At 40.8% G+C, this 22,448-nt stretch overlaps 1 protein-coding gene across 7 annotated transcripts in view, besides 2 other annotated features; it reads left to right on the top strand.

The window, feature by feature from the left end:
• The window catches only part of ASTN1 (astrotactin 1), a 307,392-nt gene that overhangs the window by 92,249 nt on the left and 192,695 nt on the right, over positions 1–22,448 (top strand). For all 7 annotated transcript variants that reach the window (XR_001737193.3, XR_921796.4, NM_001286164.2 and 4 more), the window contains exon 2: positions 11,199–11,386. Coding sequence is in view for 5 of the 7 variants with exons in the window: in NM_001286164.2 (NP_001273093.1) it covers positions 11,199–11,386 (188 nt within the window). In the remaining 2 variants the exon portion in view is untranslated. The remainder of the gene's footprint in view (positions 1–11,198; positions 11,387–22,448) is intronic.
• Positions 6,477–7,111: an enhancer, noted in NCBI's record as "OCT4-NANOG hESC enhancer chr1:177034489-177035123 (GRCh37/hg19 assembly coordinates)". NCBI's record gives its function as "activates a minimal SCP1, AML or CMV promoter by ChIP-STARR-seq in naive H9 embryonic stem cells {active_cell/tissue: H9 hESC(naive)}" and the evidence as "EXISTENCE:reporter gene assay evidence [ECO:0000049][PMID:30033119]".
• Positions 10,524–11,723: an enhancer, noted in NCBI's record as "BRD4-independent group 4 enhancer chr1:177029877-177031076 (GRCh37/hg19 assembly coordinates)". NCBI's record gives its function as "activates an origin of replication core promoter dependent on BRD2, P300/CBP, MED14 and CDK7 cofactors, and independent of BRD4, by STARR-seq in HCT116 cells {active_cell/tissue: HCT116}" and the evidence as "EXISTENCE:reporter gene assay evidence [ECO:0000049][PMID:35650434]".

Genomic DNA, 22,448 nt, shown 5'->3' with positions numbered 1-22,448 from the left:
CTTAACCCCTTCAGTGATGAGTACCTTACACAAATTAGCCTACAGAAATGGGCCCAAGGCAGTGTGGAGAGTCTTTAGACCAGTAACAAACCAAATACTATGCAGATGTGATTCTTCAGGAGAGTCTGTCACAATGAAATCACATCAGATTGCCATATGATTTGTACACTAGTGTGAATAGGTTAATAACTCAATTTCAGTCTTGGATCTATAAGCCCAAACTCTTCAAACTCCTGACAGTGTTTACTATTGATGTATATCTTCTGTATACCTAATTCATTAAGCTGAAATACAAGCATAGTGGCTCATGATTTCTCAGTGTAAATAAACATCGGTTTGGTAGACAGCACAGTCTGTAGCAAGAGCACTGTGCCAGGAGTCAGAAGGCTGTTATCTCCATCTTATTAGCTCTAACCCTTGAAATTGTCACTTACCCTCATTGGCCTTCTGGTTTCTAATTCTGTAAAGCCTACCACACAGAAATGATGAATGAAGAGAGGACCTTAGAAGAAAGGCCTTTGCAAGTTGTAACACAGGGATGATAATAAGGTATTCTTCACGTGCTTGAGTCTTTGTGGAATTCCCTCTACACTCCACTTTCTCAGGCTGAATGATGCCACAGAGATACCTAAGATTACTATCATGTCTCAGCCTTACTCTGAAGGAACTTGAGGTCCAGCCCCCATTATGGCAATTGCAAATCACAGAGAGACAAAAAATACCAGAAAGGTTTAGAGTGAGAAGAAGCTTTACAGGTCACTTATGCCCACTTTTCTGTAGGAGAAAATGGCTTATAAAGAAGAGCCAAGAGAAATGACTGGCCCTCCAGCTTGGGCTCCCTGGCTGTTTGTATGTGCAAGAAGGCAGTGCTCAGGGTCAGCAAGGTAAGCTTAGGCCTCTGTAGGAATGGGGTGGAAAGCCTGTTCCCTAGAATGAGGATGAGAATGGAAGGTTGTACTTGAGTGCAGTACTTCTTGGCATTTATGATGACAGGTGCTCACACAGACTAGTCTACAGAGAAGGACTCAGTTTACTACTGATAAAAGCATAACTGTTATTTTAATATTGCATCCATTTGCTCCTTCCCTCTTCCCTGACCACAATCACCACCCTGATGTCCTGGAAGGAACTGCCCATTTGAATTCATGAGTGCCTTGCTAAGTGCCTGACAACAAGCTCCCTGGGGCTGGCCTTGCATGCCAGCCTAGAATGGGCCTAGATAGCATGGCATCCCTCTGTGAAAGCCCCCATAGCCAAGTCTTAAAGCATAAATAGTGTACGTGGAGTTTTATCAGAGACATCTAAAGATTGTTCAATTTGCTAATGAGTACTTACAGAAATGTACAAATACGACTTGCCCTGGGCTTCTCAACTGGAACTGAGCTGATTCCTGGACTTATAGTTCCTGGACTTATGAAGACGTTTAAGCAGCTGAAGCTATTTAAAGGTATAATTTGCTTAATTCTGTCAAAGATTGTTGCTCAATTTTAGGATTTATGTGAGTGATAGTAATAATGACAACAAACAGTATTAATGATATTGATGATGATATTAGTGTTAAACTCCAGGTACTGCTAAGCACTTTGTTTGTATTATCCCAAGACTGAGATTTGCAAAGTGAGGGAATGAACGTTGAGATAGTGAAAAACAACAGTGGCCTTAAAACCAGGAGACCTAAGATTCCCCACTCAATTGCCACTCCCACCCCTACCATTCTAATATTTACTCACGGGGTGAACTTGGTCAAGTAGGTTGACTATTCTGGAACTCAAGTTCCTCATCTCTAAAATACAGATATACATACTCACACGAAAGGGTCATTGTGTATTAAGTTAGTTCATGAATACTGAAAGGGCTTCTTAGCAGAGCCAGTGCATACATTATTACTTGTTGAGTTGAATCTTAGATGATAAGAACAGAAATACAAGTGGATGAGAACTAATTAGAAATGGAGATGAATGAAAACAGTTTAGGACAGGCAACAGGCTATTCTTTTGTAACTCATTTACAGGTGATATTTAGTCATTTTCAATTCTTTTTTCCATTCATTTTATAAGGCAAGAGCCATAGAGAGGACCTTACTGAAATCGTTTAGGATCAGAAAATTATAGCAAATACTAATCTCTTTGTTAATGAAAGACCAGGAGTATAAGACAGAGGATTTGGAATGAACAGATCTCTCACTGGGTCTAGTATACAGTTTTCTTACAATCACCCTGTGACCAGTGTTTTGACTTTTTCCAAAATTCCGGCATCCATGTTGCTCCCAACACATCACTGCAGGAGAGTGGCCCTCAAGGACTTGCAAAGCTCAAATCAGAATTCCAGTCGTGAAACTTCAGGCTTCAAAATGACTTATTCTCATTACAATGTATGAAATGATCTGTAAATACATATTTTAACATTATGGAGTTTAAATATTATTACATACCTTACTTGATGTCAGATTCCATTAAATGCCTGCTGTTATCTCAATTTACAAAAGTCAGTCGGGTGGCAGTGGAGAATAGAAATAGATATAAGTAAAAAATCCTTTTACCAGTGTATTTGCAGCTCAGATAACCCTGCCTTTTTCAAAAAGCTTTGGGCTTTTTTTTTTTTCTTTATCCTTTCAAATGAGACTTTAATGAGTATCATGTGGATAAACTCTTTGCAGAGGTTTGAAAAGATCCAGAGAAACACTGTGGTAGGAACAAGCAAATCAGTTTGGATGAAATCACAAGTCATTCGAATGCCTCCTCATCTGTCTGGTTGTGTCAGAACCTTTTGGCTGCATTTTTCCCCCACAGGAATGTTTTCATCTCCATGGCTAGGTAAATAGAATGTTCATGTAGTTGCTCGATTGCTATTCATGCCAGTACAGAGTAGCGTAGAGTGACCTACTTCCAGCAGCATCCATAGAAAGCTTCACTGCTTTCCATCAAGACTGATTTAAAAAGCCACCCTCTGCTTCCCACAGCTCCCACCCCCAACTGCCCCCAGAGACAACAAACTATGGACTCTCCAGGGTGCTTATTTCCTTTCTCTCATCACTCCTGCTTCTTCAGTTGGTTCGTTTTAGTCCATCCTAGCCTTTCGGCAAAGGAGAAGCGGGTGGATGGGCAGCTTCAAAAGAAGTTAACATTGCAGATTTTTAGAGTCTAGTTCTACAAAGCGGGGAGCCACTGAGAGAGAGATCAGGCTACTCTTATCCACAGAAACAAAACTGATCAAAGGTTAATAATTCATTGAAAATTATTTGGAAGCATCTATATGTGGGTGATCTTTTTCTTACTGGGGACTGTTGATTGGAGTTTCAATAGGTCACTCTCATGAGTTTCAATACAGCCACTCCTTACCTTATAAATTGATAGGCTGGATTGAGCTGAAACATTCTAGCACTTTGAGAGGCTGAGGTGGGCAGATTGCTTGAGCCGGGATATTGTGACCAGCCTGGGCAACATGGTGAAACCTCGTCTCATAATAATACAAATATTAGCAGGGCATGGTGGCATGTACCTACCTGTAGTCCCAGCTGCTTGGGAAGCTGAGGTAGGAAAATCATCTGAGCCCCATAGGTAGAGGCTGAAGTGAGCTGAGATCATGCCACTGCACTCCAGCGGGGCACTGGAGTGAGATCCTATCTCAAAAAAAAAAAAAAAAGAAAAGAAAGAAGGAAAAAAAGAAAAATCCAAACTCCAAGAGAAAACGTCTGATTCTAAAAATTTCTGCAAAGACATTTATCCAGGTGCCATACAGAAAAAACAGCGTGCATCTGACTTGGGGCCTAACTAGAGCCAAGTGTCATGTTTGGTTTTGTGTCATTGAATAACATGGTTAGAGCTGGACAATTCCTAGAGAAATCTAGTCCCATGGTTTGAAGATGAGAAAGTGAGCTCCAGGGAGCTTACAACACTCCCATTCTCCAGGCTTCCTGTCCAGTGCTTTCTCTAACCTGCCATTGTTTCTCATCACTGAATCACTCATGCTATGAGGCTCTGTTGTTTTTGCCTTTAAGGGTAATGTCACCAAGCAGGGAAATAGAAATTCAATTATCCTTCTCCTAGTCACAAGTGGATATTTCTATTCCAAATCCCAGCAAGTCAAGAAGATTTTGGTTCCTTGAAAAATGAACCTCCTGTGCTTCTGTTGGATGAGAGCTTTTTGAAATTTTAAGCTATTTTGCTCTAAAGCTTTTGTTCCACATAGTTCTGTGGCCATTGCTCAAGCCTGTTTGGAGAAAGAGGAATGAGAATGAGATGAGAGGAAGCAGCTCTACGGCAATGAGTTAACTACAGGAATCACAATGAGAACTCCTTTCCCAATTGTTCTCTGAACATCTTCGCAAAAGAGTTTCCTGGCTATGCTGTTTTCCATATTGCTGTTCACTTAGCCAGGCCAATATAGGCACAAACTTCAGGCAAACCATCAATGTTTCTGACATCTGTGCTGGCTGACTTCAGGCCGAGCAGGGTGTCCTGTTTTCTGTGGCTCTCATCTGGGATGCGGGATTTTAGCACTTAAGAACTCCGTACCAGATGGTCCCTATGGCGAGAGGCATGGAGGCTCAGCCAGCTCAGTCCAAGGGCCATTGTTTCCCGGGTTAGTCTCATTTCCTCACTTTTCCTGACTTTGTTCCTCCTCTCTGCATCTTTCTCCTTTGTCTGTTTTTCATCTGTCCCTCATCTTCCTTCACAGATGGCCAGGACATTAATGTGCTCCTGTCATTATGTTTATGAAACAAGTTGGGGTCTTTAGAGGATCCCTTTCCACAGACATTAAGACTTGGGTCACGCTTGATACTAAGGTGAAGATTTGCAGGATAATTAGTGATCCCCTACTGTTATTAACCCCTGACTTAAGCAGGTTATTTTCTTACAAAGGTGTTGAAAGTTAATACCGCTGTTAATAGTTTCAGTGAGAAGACCATTCTGAAACCATGTGGGAAACTAGACCTACCATCAATATCTTTCAAACTCTGAAATTAGAAGGAAAAAAAGAACAGAAGAGGGGGGTATTTCTATCATAGGCCTATCTTTGGTTACCTTAATGATAGTAAGTATCTGATAGACAAGACCCATTTGTTATTCTTAGTGTTTGACAGTAGGTTTATCACTACTAAAGTCCGGAGCTCAATCTTTATCACATAGGGAAGCTCATAATGGCTGCTGAGATAGCAGAGGGTGGAGGTGTAGCTAGATTCTATTTTTAGAGATGCCTCTTTTCCTTTCCATTGTATTTCTTTCATAGAGGTTATAAGGCTCTCATAGGAGTGCATCTTATTTGTCCTCCTATCCTATCCCCTCATAGGAGTGCATCTTATTTGTCCTCCAACTGATCCAGTTCTTTCCTAACTCTGCTCTGTGAACCCCCCCTCAGAAACCATACTAGATTTGGTTTGGATAAGCGTTCTTAGACTAACAGCAACTTTGAAACTCCTAATTTAAGCAAAGTCTTTTAACAGTCAGTCATAGCCATCAGGGAGTGTCAACCTCAACCTTGAAAGACTGCAGGGTTAGTTCATCAGGTGCCCTCAACATGAGGCTAAAAATTGACTACTTAATGCTTCCTCCTGCCTTGACTTCAGCAATCACAGCAGCCTCATTAGTACTCAGCTGGATTCAGCTTGCACTCAGCCTTGCTAGGAGTGAGAAAGGGTCCCAGAATACCAAGACTGCTCTAAGCCACTCTAAGCCATCCAGTGAATTAAAGTTCTTTGACAATTTTCCAGGTTAAAATGCATATTTGAATTCAAACTGTCAAATTCTTTGAAAGAGGGCATCATGGAGCTGGTCCTCAATGAGGTTGTATTTTGGGAGAAATCCTGATCCTGACATGATGTGTTTTCTTAGCAGCTCAGTTCAGGGACTGCCAGCATGAAGGAATGCCCAAAGAGGGAACAGGGCACTTGGATGGTATAGGGAAGTTGTAATCCCTGGAAGAGGAATTTTTGAAGCAAAGTTTCCAGTGTCCTAATCTAACCCCACAAAAAGTGCTACAAGCTCACAATCCACAAGCTAACATTAGAACAATGACTAAGGCTAATCTAAAAGTGATTTCATCTCACTCTTCTTCCCACTGCCTTTCCCTATCCCTGATTATTCTCTGCTGTGACTTTCCCTGCCCAAGATCTCATTATTCCAATTCTGTATTGCATGCAGAAGCTCTAAATTATCTTTCTTAGAAACCATGCATCTGTACCAGCATGAATGAGAGCCCTTCTCACCAGCCTGAGGTCCAGTGGGAACATGGCCTGGCTCTGGAAGGCTCTGATCAAATCCTCCCAAGCCTGTCCACCCTATGTGCAGAGGGAAAGGAGAAGTGGAGTTTGGGTTAGACTTGGAGAAGGTTTGACATGGTTTGAGATATTAAACTTTTCTTTATAGGTGGTTATATGAGTCACACCCTTGTGGACTTAGAATCATAGAATGTCAAAGTTACAACAAAATTTTCAAGTTCATCGACACAGATCCTCCTTGTTCAGACGAGAAAACTCAAATCAAGGCAACTCATTCAAGGTTACTCGTACCATACCTAGGCCTCCTCCACCTCAACTCACTGTTTTAGTCATCATAGACTGTAGGATTAGAGTTATAGTAAGATCTTATTGAGTCTGGTTTCCTGCCATTTTCTTTCGGGGTCTTTGTAATCATTCTAAATTGTGGCCTAGTTCATTCCTCTGCTTTATAAAACCATAGGTGACTTTCCATTAGTTCTGAACTACTTAAATGGGCATTCACCACGTTCACAGTTGTCACCAATCTGCATTTTTTGCTGCTGTCCTGGGCTATTCTTCTCCACCTCATCCCCCCTGCAGCTTAACAAGACCTCCTGTGGTTCTGCAAACATGTGTTATCCTTCTGTTCCTTTGTACACATTGTTCTCTTCATCTGGAATGCCTCTCCAACATTTTCTCCCATTTGGTTCCTTCCCATCCATTTATGCCCTGCCAAGCTCCGCTCTGCATTCAGCACTGCTATTACTGCTTAGAGTACTTCTTCATGATCATGTCTTAAGTTTCCCATTAGATTGAAACCTCTTTGAGAATAGGGACCATGTAACACAATTTGCTGAATGTGGCAAATATAGTGTGCTCCAAAAATATGTATTGTATACAAGAATAACTAGCACCCTGGTTTCCATAGATTCTGGGAAGTTCCAGACATTTAGGGGGTGCTGAGGGATGTGAGGTTTGTGGAGGAGAAGAATGGACACACCAGAAATCAGGATACCTTCCCTTTCTTGATGTCTCAGTCCCACAGCGTGATGATGCCATTGGTGCTCCTGCCACCTGTGGTATCTTGAGATGACTGAGTAGGATCTCGTTGAGACTTTGCTTATTCAGTACACTGTGAAAAAGGTTCTATCTGAGCCTCCTCGACACCCTCAGCTGGCCTTGGGCAGGCGTAACTATCACCTCCCAAATTTGCTTTTGCGAGCCTCATGGCAGGCTTGCATTGGTAAAGCAATTTCTGAGCATTTCCTCTTCTTGAGATATTCTGCTGGGATCCAGACCAGTATGATTACATTGATGTTCCAAGCTCTGATCTCAGTCCTATCAGTTAAGAAACTCACAAGACACTTACTGTGCCCTGTGTGGTTTTTCATTGGTTGGCCCAGGCCAGATGTAGCATACATAAATAAATTCCTGGTTTAGCATTGTAGCACTTCTGTGCCAGATCTGCCAGGAAAAAGAAAAAAGCCAAGGAAGAAGCTATCATTAGGTAATTATCTTGAAACTGAAAAATGATGGGCACCCTTGGTAGGCATGGTGCCCTCTTCCTTCCATCCTTTGCCCTCTATGGTGAGTCTAGTCCAGGCAGAATCATGAACTCACTGTCTGTAGAGATGGGCATGGATAACCCACAGAGAGGTTCTGAGGGTTGGCCTGGAAGCCGAGGCCAGAGGCTGTGCTCTCAGCCCACCTCCCCATGGGAGTACTTTGTCAAACCTTCACTGTACCTGTTCTTCCATTGGTGCTACCATGCCTAGGACCCTGGAGCAGAAGACCTTCTTCCTCATGAAAAGCCTTGGACTGCTAATAGGTATGGAACTTCTTGAGCTGATGGAGTGTTCTGGGATTAGACTGTGGCTGCACAACTTTGTGAATATATTAAAAACCACCAAATTATATACTTGAAAAGGGTGAATTTTATGGTATGTGAATTATATCTCAATTTTCAAAGAAATCATGGGATACGAAGACCTAGTATAAAAACTTAAAAGACTGCAGCATAAAAGCTCCTAAATGACTACATGGATTTAGCTACTCAAGTGTGCTGTCTGTCTGTGCATGCTCTGAGATGATGTTGTCTGGTGCGTGTGTTGTGGGGTGGAGGGGACAAATTGTTCATCCACATCAGCCTTTGTTCTGTGTCAGACTGGGGTGACCTTGGTCTAAGAACCTTGCCTTGCTTCCACAATGGAAACAGAGGTAATAAGCCTGACCTACTTGAGGAGGATCTCCTGGGAAATAAAAATCTGGTTTGCCAAGTGCTTTAGAGGCATGAGGTGCTAGATCCTTCGGAATAGTTACAGGAAGGGCTGAGTGGCACTCAGATGTGTATGAGATAAATCCTGCCCTCGGGTGGAATGGGTGCAGGCAGGAGGCTGGAGGTGCCCTGCTGTGGGTGATTTAATTCCGTCATCAGGTGCTCTGTTACGAGCTATGACAGCTTGTGATTTTTATGTCCAGGGTTAGGAGACAGAGTTTGGTTTCCGCTGCAATAACAGGACAGGCACTCACAGGAGGAGAGTGTGTTTCTTGGGAGGAGCTTTTGGGGCTTTGATTTGAAGGCATGAGTAGTGGTTGGAAGGATAAGCGCCCAAGTGGGGAATGGAGTTTGTGATTGTCAGGCCTCCTCTGAAGAGCTGCGGGTAACTGCTGCTCCAACCATGCACCCCCACAGACATGCCCACAGGTTTCTCCCCACATGGAAATCTGGAAGCCTCCTTAGTAGAAAGAGGGACTCTTTTCCTGGAGAAGTCTGTGTCACAGCCTCGCTTAATAAATGAGGCCATGCTTATAGAAAGCCAGGACTGGGGTTCAGGGGATTGTCCGTCCTCACACCCTCTGCCCACTACAGCTTCCTGGATGCTTTGTCTGAGTTCATGGACAGCTTAGCAACCCAATGGGATGACTGAGTCCTCTAGGTGGTTAGGGAGGGGCCAAGGATGGAAGAGGGCTCTGATCCCTTTCTCTTTTAGCCCTGACCCACACTCTTAATTGTACCTTATCCCTCATCTGTGGGATGGTAGGACAAGACAGAGAATCATATCAGTGTCTTTTGAGACAGGCTAATGACCTGTGGCTCATATAAAACCTTCTAATTGCCCTACCCTTAGCGGACCAGCTGATATTCTTCCTTTTCCTCATCCTTATTCCCCTATCAAAGCCTGAACATACTTCCCCTACTTCTCTACCTATTGAAAGGAAGTCCACTTGCCCATCAAACCCATTACCAGTATCATCATCCTCAGAGGCTACTTTCCTCCCCTCTTCTACCCTCTACCCAGACAAGATTACTCTTTTCTTCTTCTGTGTTCCCACAAAGCTTTGCCACTGGTGTCACACTTGTCACATTCACTCATGGTGGGTTGCTTTGTAGAATTTGTTGAGGATCTCGTTTAGATTAGTATCTGAGTGCCTGGGACAGTGCCTGTGCATAATACATGGCCAATTCATGCCTGTTGAATAAACAAACCAATCGATAAATAAATAACATCAGTTGTGCCCTCCCACAAATAGTGAAATATATTTGTAAGCTCCATAAATACTTAAAATTGTTTTCCTTTTTATGGTTGTGGTACTTGATGAGAGAATACATTCTAAGTGTGTCTTATTAAATCTCTTTTATGTCTGTGAAATTATTATTATTTTTTGGCCAAAGTTAATAAATTTTTGGAGAAGAAGCCTTGCCTTAAAAAAAAAAAAAAAAAAGGCCAGGCCATATGGCTCAAGTCTCTAATCCCAACATTTTGGGAGGCCAGGGTGGGAGGATTGCTTAAGACCAGGAGTTCAAGACCAGCCTGGGCAACATATGGAGATCCTGTCTCTACAAAAAATAAAAAAACAAATTAGCTGAGCATGGTGTGGTGTGTCTGTGGTCCCTGCTACTTGGGAGGCTGGGGTGGGAGGATTGCTTGAGCCCAGGAGGTTGAGGCCACAATAAGCCATGATTGCACCAGTGCTCTCTAGCCTAGATGACAGAGCAAGACCCTTGCTTAAAAAAAAGAAAAAAAAAAAGAAAAATTTTGTAAAGCAATGGTTTACTAAACACATGTTCAGCAGAATACTAGTTCCCTAGAAATTTGGGAGAGACTCAGTTAATCAGGTTTTTCTACTGTGTTATGTCTCAGAGCTTTGATATAATATTGCTTGAGAATGCAAAAGAGAGGAACATACACACGGCATATTTTGCAGTACTACCTTAGCACCAACTACAGTGCTAGGGGCATAGTCAGTTTTCGTATTTTGCTATTAAGTCATTGATGCTAGTCTCGTGCCTCAGTCTCCATCCCTGAGAATCAAGTGAGTGTGTCTGTGATAAGGGCCTGATTCTTCACTGTCTTCTTCATGTATACCAACTCTGCTCTGCAAAACTGAAGAAACAAAATTAAAAGGAATTATAACATTACTTTACCTGTCATAGCAAGTTAGCAAACATCTCCAGTGGACTATGCAGCAAGTGATTGTGGTTTTAGAAATAACCTACCAGCCCCAGTTGCTCTGCAGTAACCTCCCAGGACTATTCCATAAATGCCAGTTGTCTTCACAGTAATTACCAACTCTCTCCTTGGTAAATTTACTGGTATGTCTAGGAATAATTGCTGGGGAACTCATACTTTCAAATTTACAAGAGGCAAACAACCTTGTATTTACCTCGGGAGGTATCAGGTATTCAAACTGAGCTGTGTAAAAGATCATAGAAATAAGGGGAAGAACTTGAATTTTCACCTTGATATTTTTTTCGATGGGTGAGAGCCTGGTTCACTAGATTTATGGTGGAAAGACCTACGGGAGATAATTGTCTTCTTCTCAGGGTCTCTCCTCTTCCTTGTGGTTTGGAGTAGCAGTAAAATCTGACCTAACTATACATTGTTGGAAACTTCTGTTGGCTTCAGACGAAACTGGCTAATTGGTACAAGTGGCGAGGAAGAAGATGAAAAACTTGGTCCCATCCTAATTCTCACCTGTGCCTTTGGTGTTCATCTTCTAGAGATCTCAGGGAACACAGAGGATATCCCTTTGGTGCGCTGGAGGCAGCAGTGGCTGGAGAATGGCACTTTGCTTTTTCACATTCATCACCAAGATGGTGCCCCAAGCCTTCCTGGACAAGACCCCACTGAAGAACCCCAACATGAGTCGGCAGAAGAGGAGCTGAGGATCCTCCACATCTCAGTCATGGTAAGAGCAGAACAGCCTTAGCCTCTCAGGCCATAGCTTATGTTACCTTGACATTAAGGGTCTTGGTATTATAGATATCACTCTATCAGACCTAACTCTGTAATGATCATTGATCATGTTAATAAGTAAATTTCCCATTTGTGGGAAATGCATCCACCTGTGATGTAAGTAATAATTGCAACTATTTCTAACAGTACCATTCCCCAACTGTTTTCTCTAGGAACATGCTCAGATATGAAGAAACTTTAACAAACCAGAGATAATATTAGATCAGGGCAGCCAGGCACAGTGACTCACACTTGTAATCCCAGCACTTTGGGAAACCAAGATGGACGGATCACTTGAGGCCAGGAGTTCAAGACCAGCCTAGCCAACATGGTGAAACCCCATCTCTACTAAAAATACAAAACTTAGCTGGGCACACCTGCAGTCCCAGCTACTTGGGAGGCTGAGACCTGAGAATTGCTTGAACACAGGAGGTGAAGGTTGCAGTGAGCCGAGATTGCACCTCTGCACTTCCGCCTGGGTGACAGAGTGAGCCTCTGTCTCAAACAACAACAAAATTAGATGAGGCTAATAGATTGTCATAGATGGGAATTATCCAATTAGTGTATTGGAGAATCTTAAAGTTGTTGCTCCACAAATGTTTGTTAAATGACTGACTCTCCAAGCTGCTTGCCACTACCAAGTTCTCTTTTCTCTTCTCCCAGCCAGGAGGAAGCCAGTAAACTGGCTTTCTCTCCTCTTACAATAGAGGGCATGTGGGTAGACACTTGCACCTCTCTCTAGCTCAACTCAGATCCTTTACTATTAACATTCCTTCTCCTACTTAGAAATTTGAAGCCTCAAAAAAAGTTGGAAGGTTTTTTCTAACATTGTAGGAACTTGTATTCTAGAATCTCACTGGAAAGTAAGTGCTATGATGGCAGGCCAGGGTTTTTGTTTAGTGTTGTTTTTTTTACTGATGTGTCCCCAGTGCCTAGAACAATGCATTCACATCGTTGATACTTAATTAATATTTGTGGAATAAGTGAATGAATTTCCCAGTGAAGAGATGAATAAAACCTGTCACACTTGGTATTTTATGTATTGATATTGTACTGGTAAACAAATACATTGTCTGCTCTTAGGGTAGCCTAATAGCAGGTTGAGACTTGACTGATTATTTATAAGCCATGTATATGGGAGGGTGTAGATTATTTCACTGTTAGGAAACTCAACTCAGAAGCAGCTTGAGTCTTAGTTCAAACCTTATTTCATCTGTTGCTCTAGTACCATCACTACATGCTATTTAGTTTTGTGTATCAGACTGAGGGAAACTGAGTGCATTTTAGACATAGAAGAATGCCTATTATCCAAAGATGGAAAATCTCTCTATAAAATCTCTGATAAAATCTCAAAATGTAAGCCTTCTATTTCTTCCTCAACCCATGTCCCCGTAAGTAAACTGGCTTGATAGGTTACCTGCATGTACACGAGGCACTTTGTTTAAATTATATGGTGGAGAAAAGAGTTCCTGAATTGCAAATGTTAAGCCTTAATATCCACATAAGGTCAGATGTCAGGCAGGTAAATGAGGTTGCTAATACTTACATTTACAAATTAATCAAGGTTTATAGCATGGGAGTTCCAGTACTTGCATCTTCTTATTAAAGAACAGTGTTTTTCCTCTGTGAGAAGGTTGTCTTCTTTATTGTAGCTTGTAGTGTCCAGAGAGTGGTAGGATTCAGGCAGGTCAGCTGAATTGGCCCTGGCATTGACTGGAGTGACGAATTTAGAGGCCAGATTGTCTTCAAATTTATAATATGGTCTGACTAAAAAGAAGGGCACAATGGTGGATTTCTCGTCAGCCATCCACATCCTGCCATCAGTGTGGGATGCAATGGTGGTCATGGGTGGTTTTGTTTTGTTTTGGCCTGAGACCATTTCAAAGAACCAGTCTTTGTCACACTGATGAAAATGTTTAAGGTAAAGAAAGGTGTATAGAGATTTCCAAAAATAAATATTGTGATTATATTTTAAAGAAGGACCCTAAATAGAAGAAGTTGAGACAAACAATATGTCAGAAGGGGAGTCTAGGGAGGGCTGGGGGCATAGTGCGAGAATCTGCAGAAAGATAAACAGCCTGAAGCTTGTACTTGTTGCCACATTGTATCTTCAGTGTAGGAAGCACCCTACCATCTATCCCTGGAATTAGGTGCTCAATAAGTTTTCTAGAGAAGTGTGTGTGTATGTGTGTGTGTGTGTGTTTGTTTGTGTATGTTTGTGGGGGTGGGTATACTGCTGGGGGGATGGGAGCACCAAAATCTTACAAATCACCACTAAAGAACTTACTCATGTAACCAAACACCATCTGTTCCCCAAAAATCAATGGAAATACAAAATTTAAAAAATATATATGCTGATCAAAAATGCCAAAGACTTTAGGAAATAGGCTGTGCCCTTAAAATAGAACAACCCATATGAAAAACCCTACATTATAGTGTTTTTTCAAATTAGATCCCCTGAGCAAGAATTAGTGGACAGTGGACACTGAAATGGAGAAAGAACAAGAGTCAACTTTAAACTTATCTCTGAGACCTCTCCTTCATATGCTACTTGTCACCAATGGCAGACCACTATGACATTTTATTTTTCAAATAAAATGGAAGAGATTATTCCTTCAGCTTAATTTTAATTTATTCTCTTTTATTTTTAACCAGGCTAAAGAGACAGAGGACAAAAGGGCATAGGCAAACGTAAGGGTGCAAAAGATTTGTGTTGTCTTTGGGTTGGCCTCTTGTATGTGGACAGGCCAACATCTCCATAAAAAAATCAGGAAGGCCTTTGACTTCCACAGAACAGGAATCTCAGGATGAAGTGGAGATATAAATATTTCCTCCCTACCCGCTCCTTTCCCTGTCAAAGATGGTTTGGTTAGTGGAGCCTACTGCAGCCCACCTAGCCGTCTCATTGTCCTCAATTCCCATTCCATACACACACCCCACACACTGCATTTCTCATCCTTAGGATTCTATTCTAGAAACAATTTCAAAGTCTGAAGTTGTGTATCTGCCCTCAGCTTAGAAATAAAGCCTGAGGGTATCCTGTTTGAAGATGTTGTTCCTAGAATCTCTGATGGCTTCCTCCTAAGAGACTCAAGTGGTGGTAGACTTTATTTGACACACTTTATACCATACCCTTTGGAGGAAAGGTAGGCAGCTATTTGAGGCATCTGGATGACAGCATTACAAAAGCCAGAAGATAGCAAAATTCTTTGATTTGTAACAATATTGAGAAGTGAAATGCACTTAAATTAAATCTTATTACCAAAACCCCTTTAGTTATGAAATAACAATAGCAAGACTATTTTTTCATTAACTCTAATGATCAATATTGATACAGTTTTCAAATTAGATCAAAATAGCATAATTGGAAAAAGAGAAAAGATAAAGCGATTATCGAAACATGAATACATCCAACCTCTTCTGTTAAGAAAATGTATAATTAAAAGCTTAACTAATAATCCTAACTATTTCCAATATGTGCAAGAGGGAATTAATGGTTTTATGAAAACCTTAAAGTTTACATTTCTCTCATTTTGTATGTATACTTTTTTATCCATATTTCCTCAATGCAGAGACCACTGTTTATTTCTATATTTTGCATATATTATGTTTTGTTTTAACACAAAATATAAGAAATTAGAGAATGAGAAGTAAAAGAAACCTTTTTGGACCCTTATGGCATTGTATGAATGAGAATTTGCAAGTTCTCTTTTATACCATGCCCAGTATAAATCGACCATCAGCAAAATTGTGGGCTTGCAGAAAGCCAATTCCCCAGCTGGGAGCTCGGCAATTTAAAACTGAAAAACCTTTTGCTTTTCTTATTTTTCAATCACATCCTAAAATTTTTGAATTATTTTTTCCAAAGAGGTACCATTTCTTCCTTGCATAGAATAATTGGATTTCCCTTCTGAAATCTTACATTATTGCTTTGAGGGTCAAATGATGTATTTTAACCTCCTTGCATGATTCAAACTTGGCTGAAGAGATTTATTTCAAATTTTGCAAGATAGTTGACATTCAGAACTATGAAAGTACACAAAGATACTCTTTTGCAAACTCTTCAACAAATGAAAGCAGAATCAGCAAATGAAAACTGAGTGTGAGTTTAAACCAAAAGTCAAGCAATTCGTCAGTTAAAAGGCAAATGGTTTACTCCATAGAAGACCAGGTTTCAATATGACTTCATGTCAGATATTCAGACTCTGTGTGGATTTAAATTTTCTTATTGTACTTGTGCTAATTTACCATACAGTGTACATTTTTCTTCTTAAAGTACGCAAACGAGTTTAATGGTGCACAGTAGAATTTAAATGTATTGTCTATATATTTCATCTCTTTAATTAAAGATGGCAGTGTTAATAGATTTCCTATATGCATATGGATTGGTTAAGTACATTTTTCACAGCAAGTAGCCTTTCTAAAATTCTTTGGAGATATGTGTATATATATATATATATATATATATGAAATTTTTCTGTATTGATAACTCCCACTGGTAGAGAATATCTTTTGTGGTTCAGCCTTCTTAGTCACTGTTGTGGGGAAAAAAATCTTAGTAGCCCCAGCTGTTTGTGGCTCCTTGGCCAGTATCTGGAGGCCCCCATGGCCTTCTACTGCTGGCTGCCATCAGAGGCCTTAGCCTGCCCCCAGGCTCCCTGTTTCTGGGATCTCCAGGTGAACCCAAGGTACAGAGTTCACTCCTGGGAGAAACAATGTTGGGAACAAGATTTGGAGACAAAAGAGGCAGGTGCCATTATACAGTCCCAGAGTCCAGCAAATAAAATGGGCACTGTGGGAAAGTTCCAGTGTGGAAAAGTAGTATTTGGGGCTGAGTCAGTACAGAACCCACAGAAGACACCTATGGGAGCCTCCAGGATCATGTTTCCAGTGCTGCATAACAACTTTCTACCAAAGCCTCATCCTTGCCCTTACTGTTACATTCAAGTTCAGTCCAGTTGCCTGAGCATCGCATGTGAGTTTGCTTGAAGCCGTGCCTCATTTCATACCTAGAGCACAGCCGCTTCCAATGTAGAGAGGAGCAGTTCCAAGTGTGGCAGTCACTGTGTGTCATCAACACTATTAGGTTCTTATTAAGTGTCTGTGGGCACAGGAGAGAGGGCTAGATGTCTTTTTTGTCAGCGCCTTTTGCCTTCAGCAGATCTGTTACAAAAACTCATTAACAAATTCATTAATCAAGGTCACTTTTGCATCTTTATGGTCAATTTGTAGTATTTTTTTCATTCAACTTAGGATGCTCTAATTTATCAGGACCAGTCCTTCTCATCTTTAAGCAACAAATGGAGACATTTAGGCATATTGTATGTTACCAGAAAGGACAGAGATAGAGTAATAAGTCGGAAAGTACAAAAAGACAAGTCTTGATTCAGTTCAAAGAAGACTTTTCTTGCAATTCAAGCCATCCTTCATGGGGCTGAACCGACTTACTGGTCATACTGCCCACATGCCAGGGCCATCACTGTGTATTTTACCTTCCATTAGGAAAGCTGTGGGCAGTTCCTAAGATAATCAGTAAGATCTCTTGAAACAAAACCTCTTTGCTCTTTGTTTCTTTCTGAAACGCTGATGTGCAAAAGCCTGGAGATGCCAGGGTCCATTTGGGGACCATGTCAAGTGCCAACTAAGGTTTGGCTTACAAACATCCCTCACCTGGCACCATGGAATGCCCTGCATCTCTTGTCAAGATGCGTCGGGCATAGGTATACATGAATTCATTCACCATTTGGGTTGCTCATCTATTTTGTTCTTGTTTGGTGCCCTTTCATATTCTAGTAAAGTGAGAGCTGAGATGTAGCAGAAAGACACGCTGGATTTACAGTTGGAAGAGTGGACTTCATATGCTGGCTTTACCACTTTAGGTAATTTGCTGCGCTTTTTGGAAGCTTCATTATCTCACCTATAAAATGAATGCACTGGTCAGGCTTTTTAGTTTTAGAGAATGAAGATCCACTGAGGCCTTCTCTGTAATAGAGTTGTACTGCAGAAATTTATATAGAGATAAAAGAGACAACACTCTCCTGATTTTAAAAAGTATATTCAAAGGGCAGATTTTCACAAAGGCTGGAACTGGGAAGTTGTTGAGGATCTGAGTGATTTTATCAGCCCTCAGCCTCCATAGCTTGTGGTTTGGCTCTTTCACACCTGTTTCTATTGCTCCTCTTGCTATGAATTAGCTTCTTTGTCTAGTCTATTCTATAAATCTTTCTCAATTGCAAAGCTTTTATGTGTTTGACACTCCATTTACTCATCAAGTCACCTCACTCATGACCTGTCCTGACTTTTCACAGCTTCACAGTGTTTCCAGCTTTGTTCCCACTGCTGTTAAATGTCCTGCCTTCCTCCCTTATTCTAACTCCTTAGTGAAAGAAGCAGATGTATCTAATTTGTTACCATAGCCCCTGTTTGTTCAAAGCTTTCATATCAGGTTATCCCACAGGTGAATGTGATCCTAGCCTTCCCCTGGTGGTTTTAGTGGGGAGGTGGGCTTATGTGGTACACTCCTGCTCCACGCACAGGTCAGAGCCGTTTCCTTTAGCAGAGGCTGAAAAACTGATTTCACGATTTCTTGTTTTCAGTACAACAAACAGACTAAGACCTAACTTATAGAGATGTTAGGAGATGTTAGGAGAATCAAAATATAACATAGACACCATCATCATTGTCATCATCATCATCAAAATTGTGTTTTGCACTTACTATGTGCTAGACATTGTTTCAAGTGCTTTCAATATATTTTAACTTATTTTTTATTCTTACCACACCATAAAGTAGGGTTTGTTATTACTCATTTTGCAGACAAGGGGACTGAGCATAACAGGCTATGTGATTTATCTAAAAGTAAACAACTATTAGTTTGCAGGACTATGAATTGAATCAAGGCAGTCCACAGAGTCCAGATACTATACTTTGAGAAGCACTCCTCTCCTGACCCATAGTGAGCACACAATATATATTTAGTATGTGTCATTTCACCAACTTTTGATGTTTTGTTGACTTTTGACTGCTGAGATTCATCTGACACTTTACTCCATTTTTACTTTGACACTAATAACGCTACAAGCACTAGGACCAACAACCATGATGGAACACAAATTTTCTTTCCGTGGCTACACCAGGCAGCTAACCCCAGAAGCTCAGACTCTGTTCAGCTTGGCTAATCCCACCTGCTAACCTTGGCTTCAGTCACACCACCTCACAGCTGGTGGTGGGTTTATTGGCAGGGAAGGGAAAAGGGTAGTTGGGGAATTCTAACTCTAAAATTGTGAAAGTCATGTAACAATGAACTTAGCTTCTTCATATACAAACTTTTGCATTTTTGCGGGAAATTTTTAGAAACTAGAAAAGTATTTTCAAAGCATTATTGACATATTGATTTTTTAAAATCATTGACTCATTCCTTCATTTAGATATTGATTATTTAACACTGTTTTCAGGCTTCAGATTTTTTTAGCTACTAAGTAGATAGGAAATGAATAAGACAAAGTTCTGCTTTCAGGGAGCATTTAATCACATTATTAATGCTTACTATTTGAAGAGGGCCCTTGGCAGAACTGAGAGACAAGTAGAGTTTCCATCATCTTTTCCACTCCTTTTCAGTCTTTACATCTTCTTTGCAAATCTGTTTTTCTCTTTCCTGAAGTTCACAGAGGCCTTATGCTACCCTCATCTCTGCAGATAGCAAGAAAAATAGCTAAGAGGCCAAATTTTCAAAAGGATGCTGATGTCTTTTTAACAAGTTGATGTAATATTCTGTTCAGCAATCTAGTTCACTTGATATAGAAGCTAGCAATTTACTTTCAACTACTCAGTTTCAGAAATCCCTGAAGATCCTTTTGAAAGCAGGAGTCATAATTTCCATGAGGTTTCAATCAATATTAGAAACTGGTAATATTCATAGTAATAAAGCTATTGCTCACTAAGCCCTCACTGTGTCTCCAGCACTGTATGGGATCATTTGCATACATACTATCAATCAATTTCCATAGCAACCTTTTGAAATAGCTATCATTTCTTCCATCTTTCAGATGTGAACACTGAGACTGAGAGAAAGTAAATTATAGGCCCAAAGTCACATAGGCTGTAAGAAAGGAAGCCAGGATTTAAGGCAAGTGTATCTGACTCCAAACTTGACTCTGCTACACAATTCTGCTACTTGGTGGTATTAGAGTTGGACAGTTTCTCCAATTTTCCAGGTTATGGAATAATTTTATTTCTTTTAGCTAGTACAGTAGAAACCCTTTATTTGAAGATTAGGAAGGAACATAGAGAATGGTACAAGATGCTGTCATGGTGAGGTCTATGAGCTGCTTCAAAAGGTAAAGGAAGAGCTGGATCGGGCAAGAAGACCAAATATTGCAAAGAAGCCTGAGATTGGCTCTGAGAAGATGCTGGTCATTGAGAACCAACCAAGACTATAGTTGTATGGTATTGAATTTTAGTGAGGCAGTTTACAGCAAGGGCTTTGCTCTCAGAGAGACCAATTTAAATCTTAGTTCTGCCATTTACTCGATCTTTTTGTTGACCTTGGACAAATTGCTTAATCACTCTAAACTCACTTTCCCTATCCATAAAATGGGAATAATAAATCCTACTTTATAGGGCTGTTTTAATTATTAAATGAGATGATTCTTATAAACCACTTCCCGTAGTGCCTGGCCTATAGGGAAGTACCCATTAAATATTAGCTCAGTAAACTCTTGGGGGGCCATGCAAGCTGCCTGTAACAATCTTGCATACAATGTGTGACCCAGGGGCCACCAGCTTAGAGAGTCAGAAAAGCATCTGTGATCATGGCAGCCTCTCAGAGGAGTCCTAGAGGATTGTGCTTAGGGAAAAGACCGAGGCAATTAGGGATATCAGGACAATAGAATAGGGCCATTACAAAGCTGGGATGCAGTCATGTCCATTCAGGGAATTGTTATGTCACTTCTGTTTCATTGTTTACAGGGTTTCCCACCAGGCGTCTTATGATTTAGGATGATAATTGAGGTCTGATCTCATAATTGACATCTGATACCTACCAGGTATCTTATGATTTAGGGTGATAATTTCAGCTCCAACTTCTCTGGAAGAACTTCATTTATTAATTTATTTTTTAATCAAACCACGTGATGTCATTTAGGGAATTCCATCACTGCCCAGGTATCCACACATACAAGATTGTTATTACTCTCATTCACAATGGGAAAAAGAAGACTTAGAGTAGTGGGTGATGCTCATGGCCAGCACTGATGTAAGAACTCAGAGATTCTGAGTCCTGATGCCATTACCTTTTCTCCAGATCACACTATCTTTCACCCACCCTCTGCCCATCTCATAAGTTTGGGGTCTGTCTCACAGACCCGAGGTCATCTTTAAATCTGATCACAAACTCATACCCATGGGCCTTGGCTGGAGACAAATTAGATTTAGGTATAGTAAATGTAGCCAGCCATGTGTCCATGGAGAAAACCCTAATATGGACAATGGCAGGAATTATCTAGGCCAGGAGTCTATAAAGGACCAGATGTTAAACATTTTTAGCTTTATAGGCCATCCAAGCTCTTTTTCAACTATTCATCTCTTGCCAATGTAGTGCCCAAGTAACCATGCACAGTATATAACTGAATGCACGTGGCTGTGTTTCAATAAACTTTATTTACAAAAACAGGCAGTGGGCCACATTTGGCCTGGAGGCCATAGGTTTGCTGACCTCAATCTAGTACATTCTCCTCATTTTGTCTGCAGAACCCACATAAAGACTACAACCTAACAACTGAGTGGAAGCTTTAGGGTTCTATTTGCAGTGTGAAAGACAATAATTTGCTAGTTTTAGCCAGACCCCCACAGATTGATTATAATTGTCACTTAAGGCACTGACAAAAATTGTTCTTGCTAGAAATTCAAGACATGTGGTATTCACAAATTCAGGTGAAATGCAAGCACATTAGCTTCTCTTGAGAGACACTGATGAGTTTAGCAAAGACAGATGTTAATGAAAACAAAACTATGCTTCGACTTGACAAGAAAAGTATAAACAGGATACTTATTAGCAAATATGCTGTTTTTTTTCCCTGTGAGTCTGATGGCTCCTGCTTGGTTTCAACTTTGAGTACACAGTAGAAATGTGTGACATGCCTGGATATGCTAAAATACCCCCTTGTAGAAAAATGCTTCATATAAATATGTAAGAATAGAAGCAGGATTATGCTTCCAGACATTGATGTCATAATAAAGTTGGTTTTTGTGAGGACTGTTACGTATCTTTAAGAGTTTATGGTAGCTCTTGGTCTTGCTGATAAAGTTTAGGGTGAACAAAGCATTTTTAGCCTTGCCTTATAAAATTAGCTGTGACACATTTAAGTATCTGCTAAAGTTTGTTAAATGGCTTACCTGTGTGAGAGGCAGATGTCAGTAGCCTTCCCCAAGATTGCAAGGGGTCTCTCTCTATAATAAATCTAGGAAAGTCAGGTGCCTCTTGCTGCTGCCTTGCTATTTATGATTTCTCTCCTGATGATACCTCTATCACTGCTGCTGATGTCCCTGAATAGCAAAGGATGAGTCAAGTAGCCTTCTAACTTGGGATGAATCAGATGTCAGTTTATTAATATGTTGTACTATGGCTGACAGTAGTGGGTGCTTCACAGAATCGTATCTGGGGCCTGCTGGGCTTTGGCTCCCAATTCTGACATTTGGGATTTGTATAACTGCTTAAGGTGGCCTGAGAGGTGAGTTCTGCTACCCTAATACCATAAAGAAGATAGGGCTATATGAGAGATCCATATGGGATATCAATCATCAGATGCTTATGAAAGGATTCAACCTTCATTTCCTCCATGTCTGCATCTTGTCTGAGGAAGAAGTGGGAAGGATTCGGGACTTAGATATATAGGCCCTTGGGATTTGTAAGAGTGAACATTTCATGATTTGGCATTTGTGGGTTTCAGATACATTCTTACGTGAGGTAAACTATCACACATAACCAACTTAGAAGAGCTCTGTGTCCCAACTATGAT

Source organism: Homo sapiens, chromosome 1 (assembly GCF_000001405.40).
Source record: "Homo sapiens chromosome 1, GRCh38.p14 Primary Assembly".
Lineage (NCBI taxonomy): Eukaryota > Metazoa > Chordata > Mammalia > Primates > Hominidae > Homo > Homo sapiens.
This window is presented reverse-complemented; position numbering and strand designations above follow the sequence as displayed.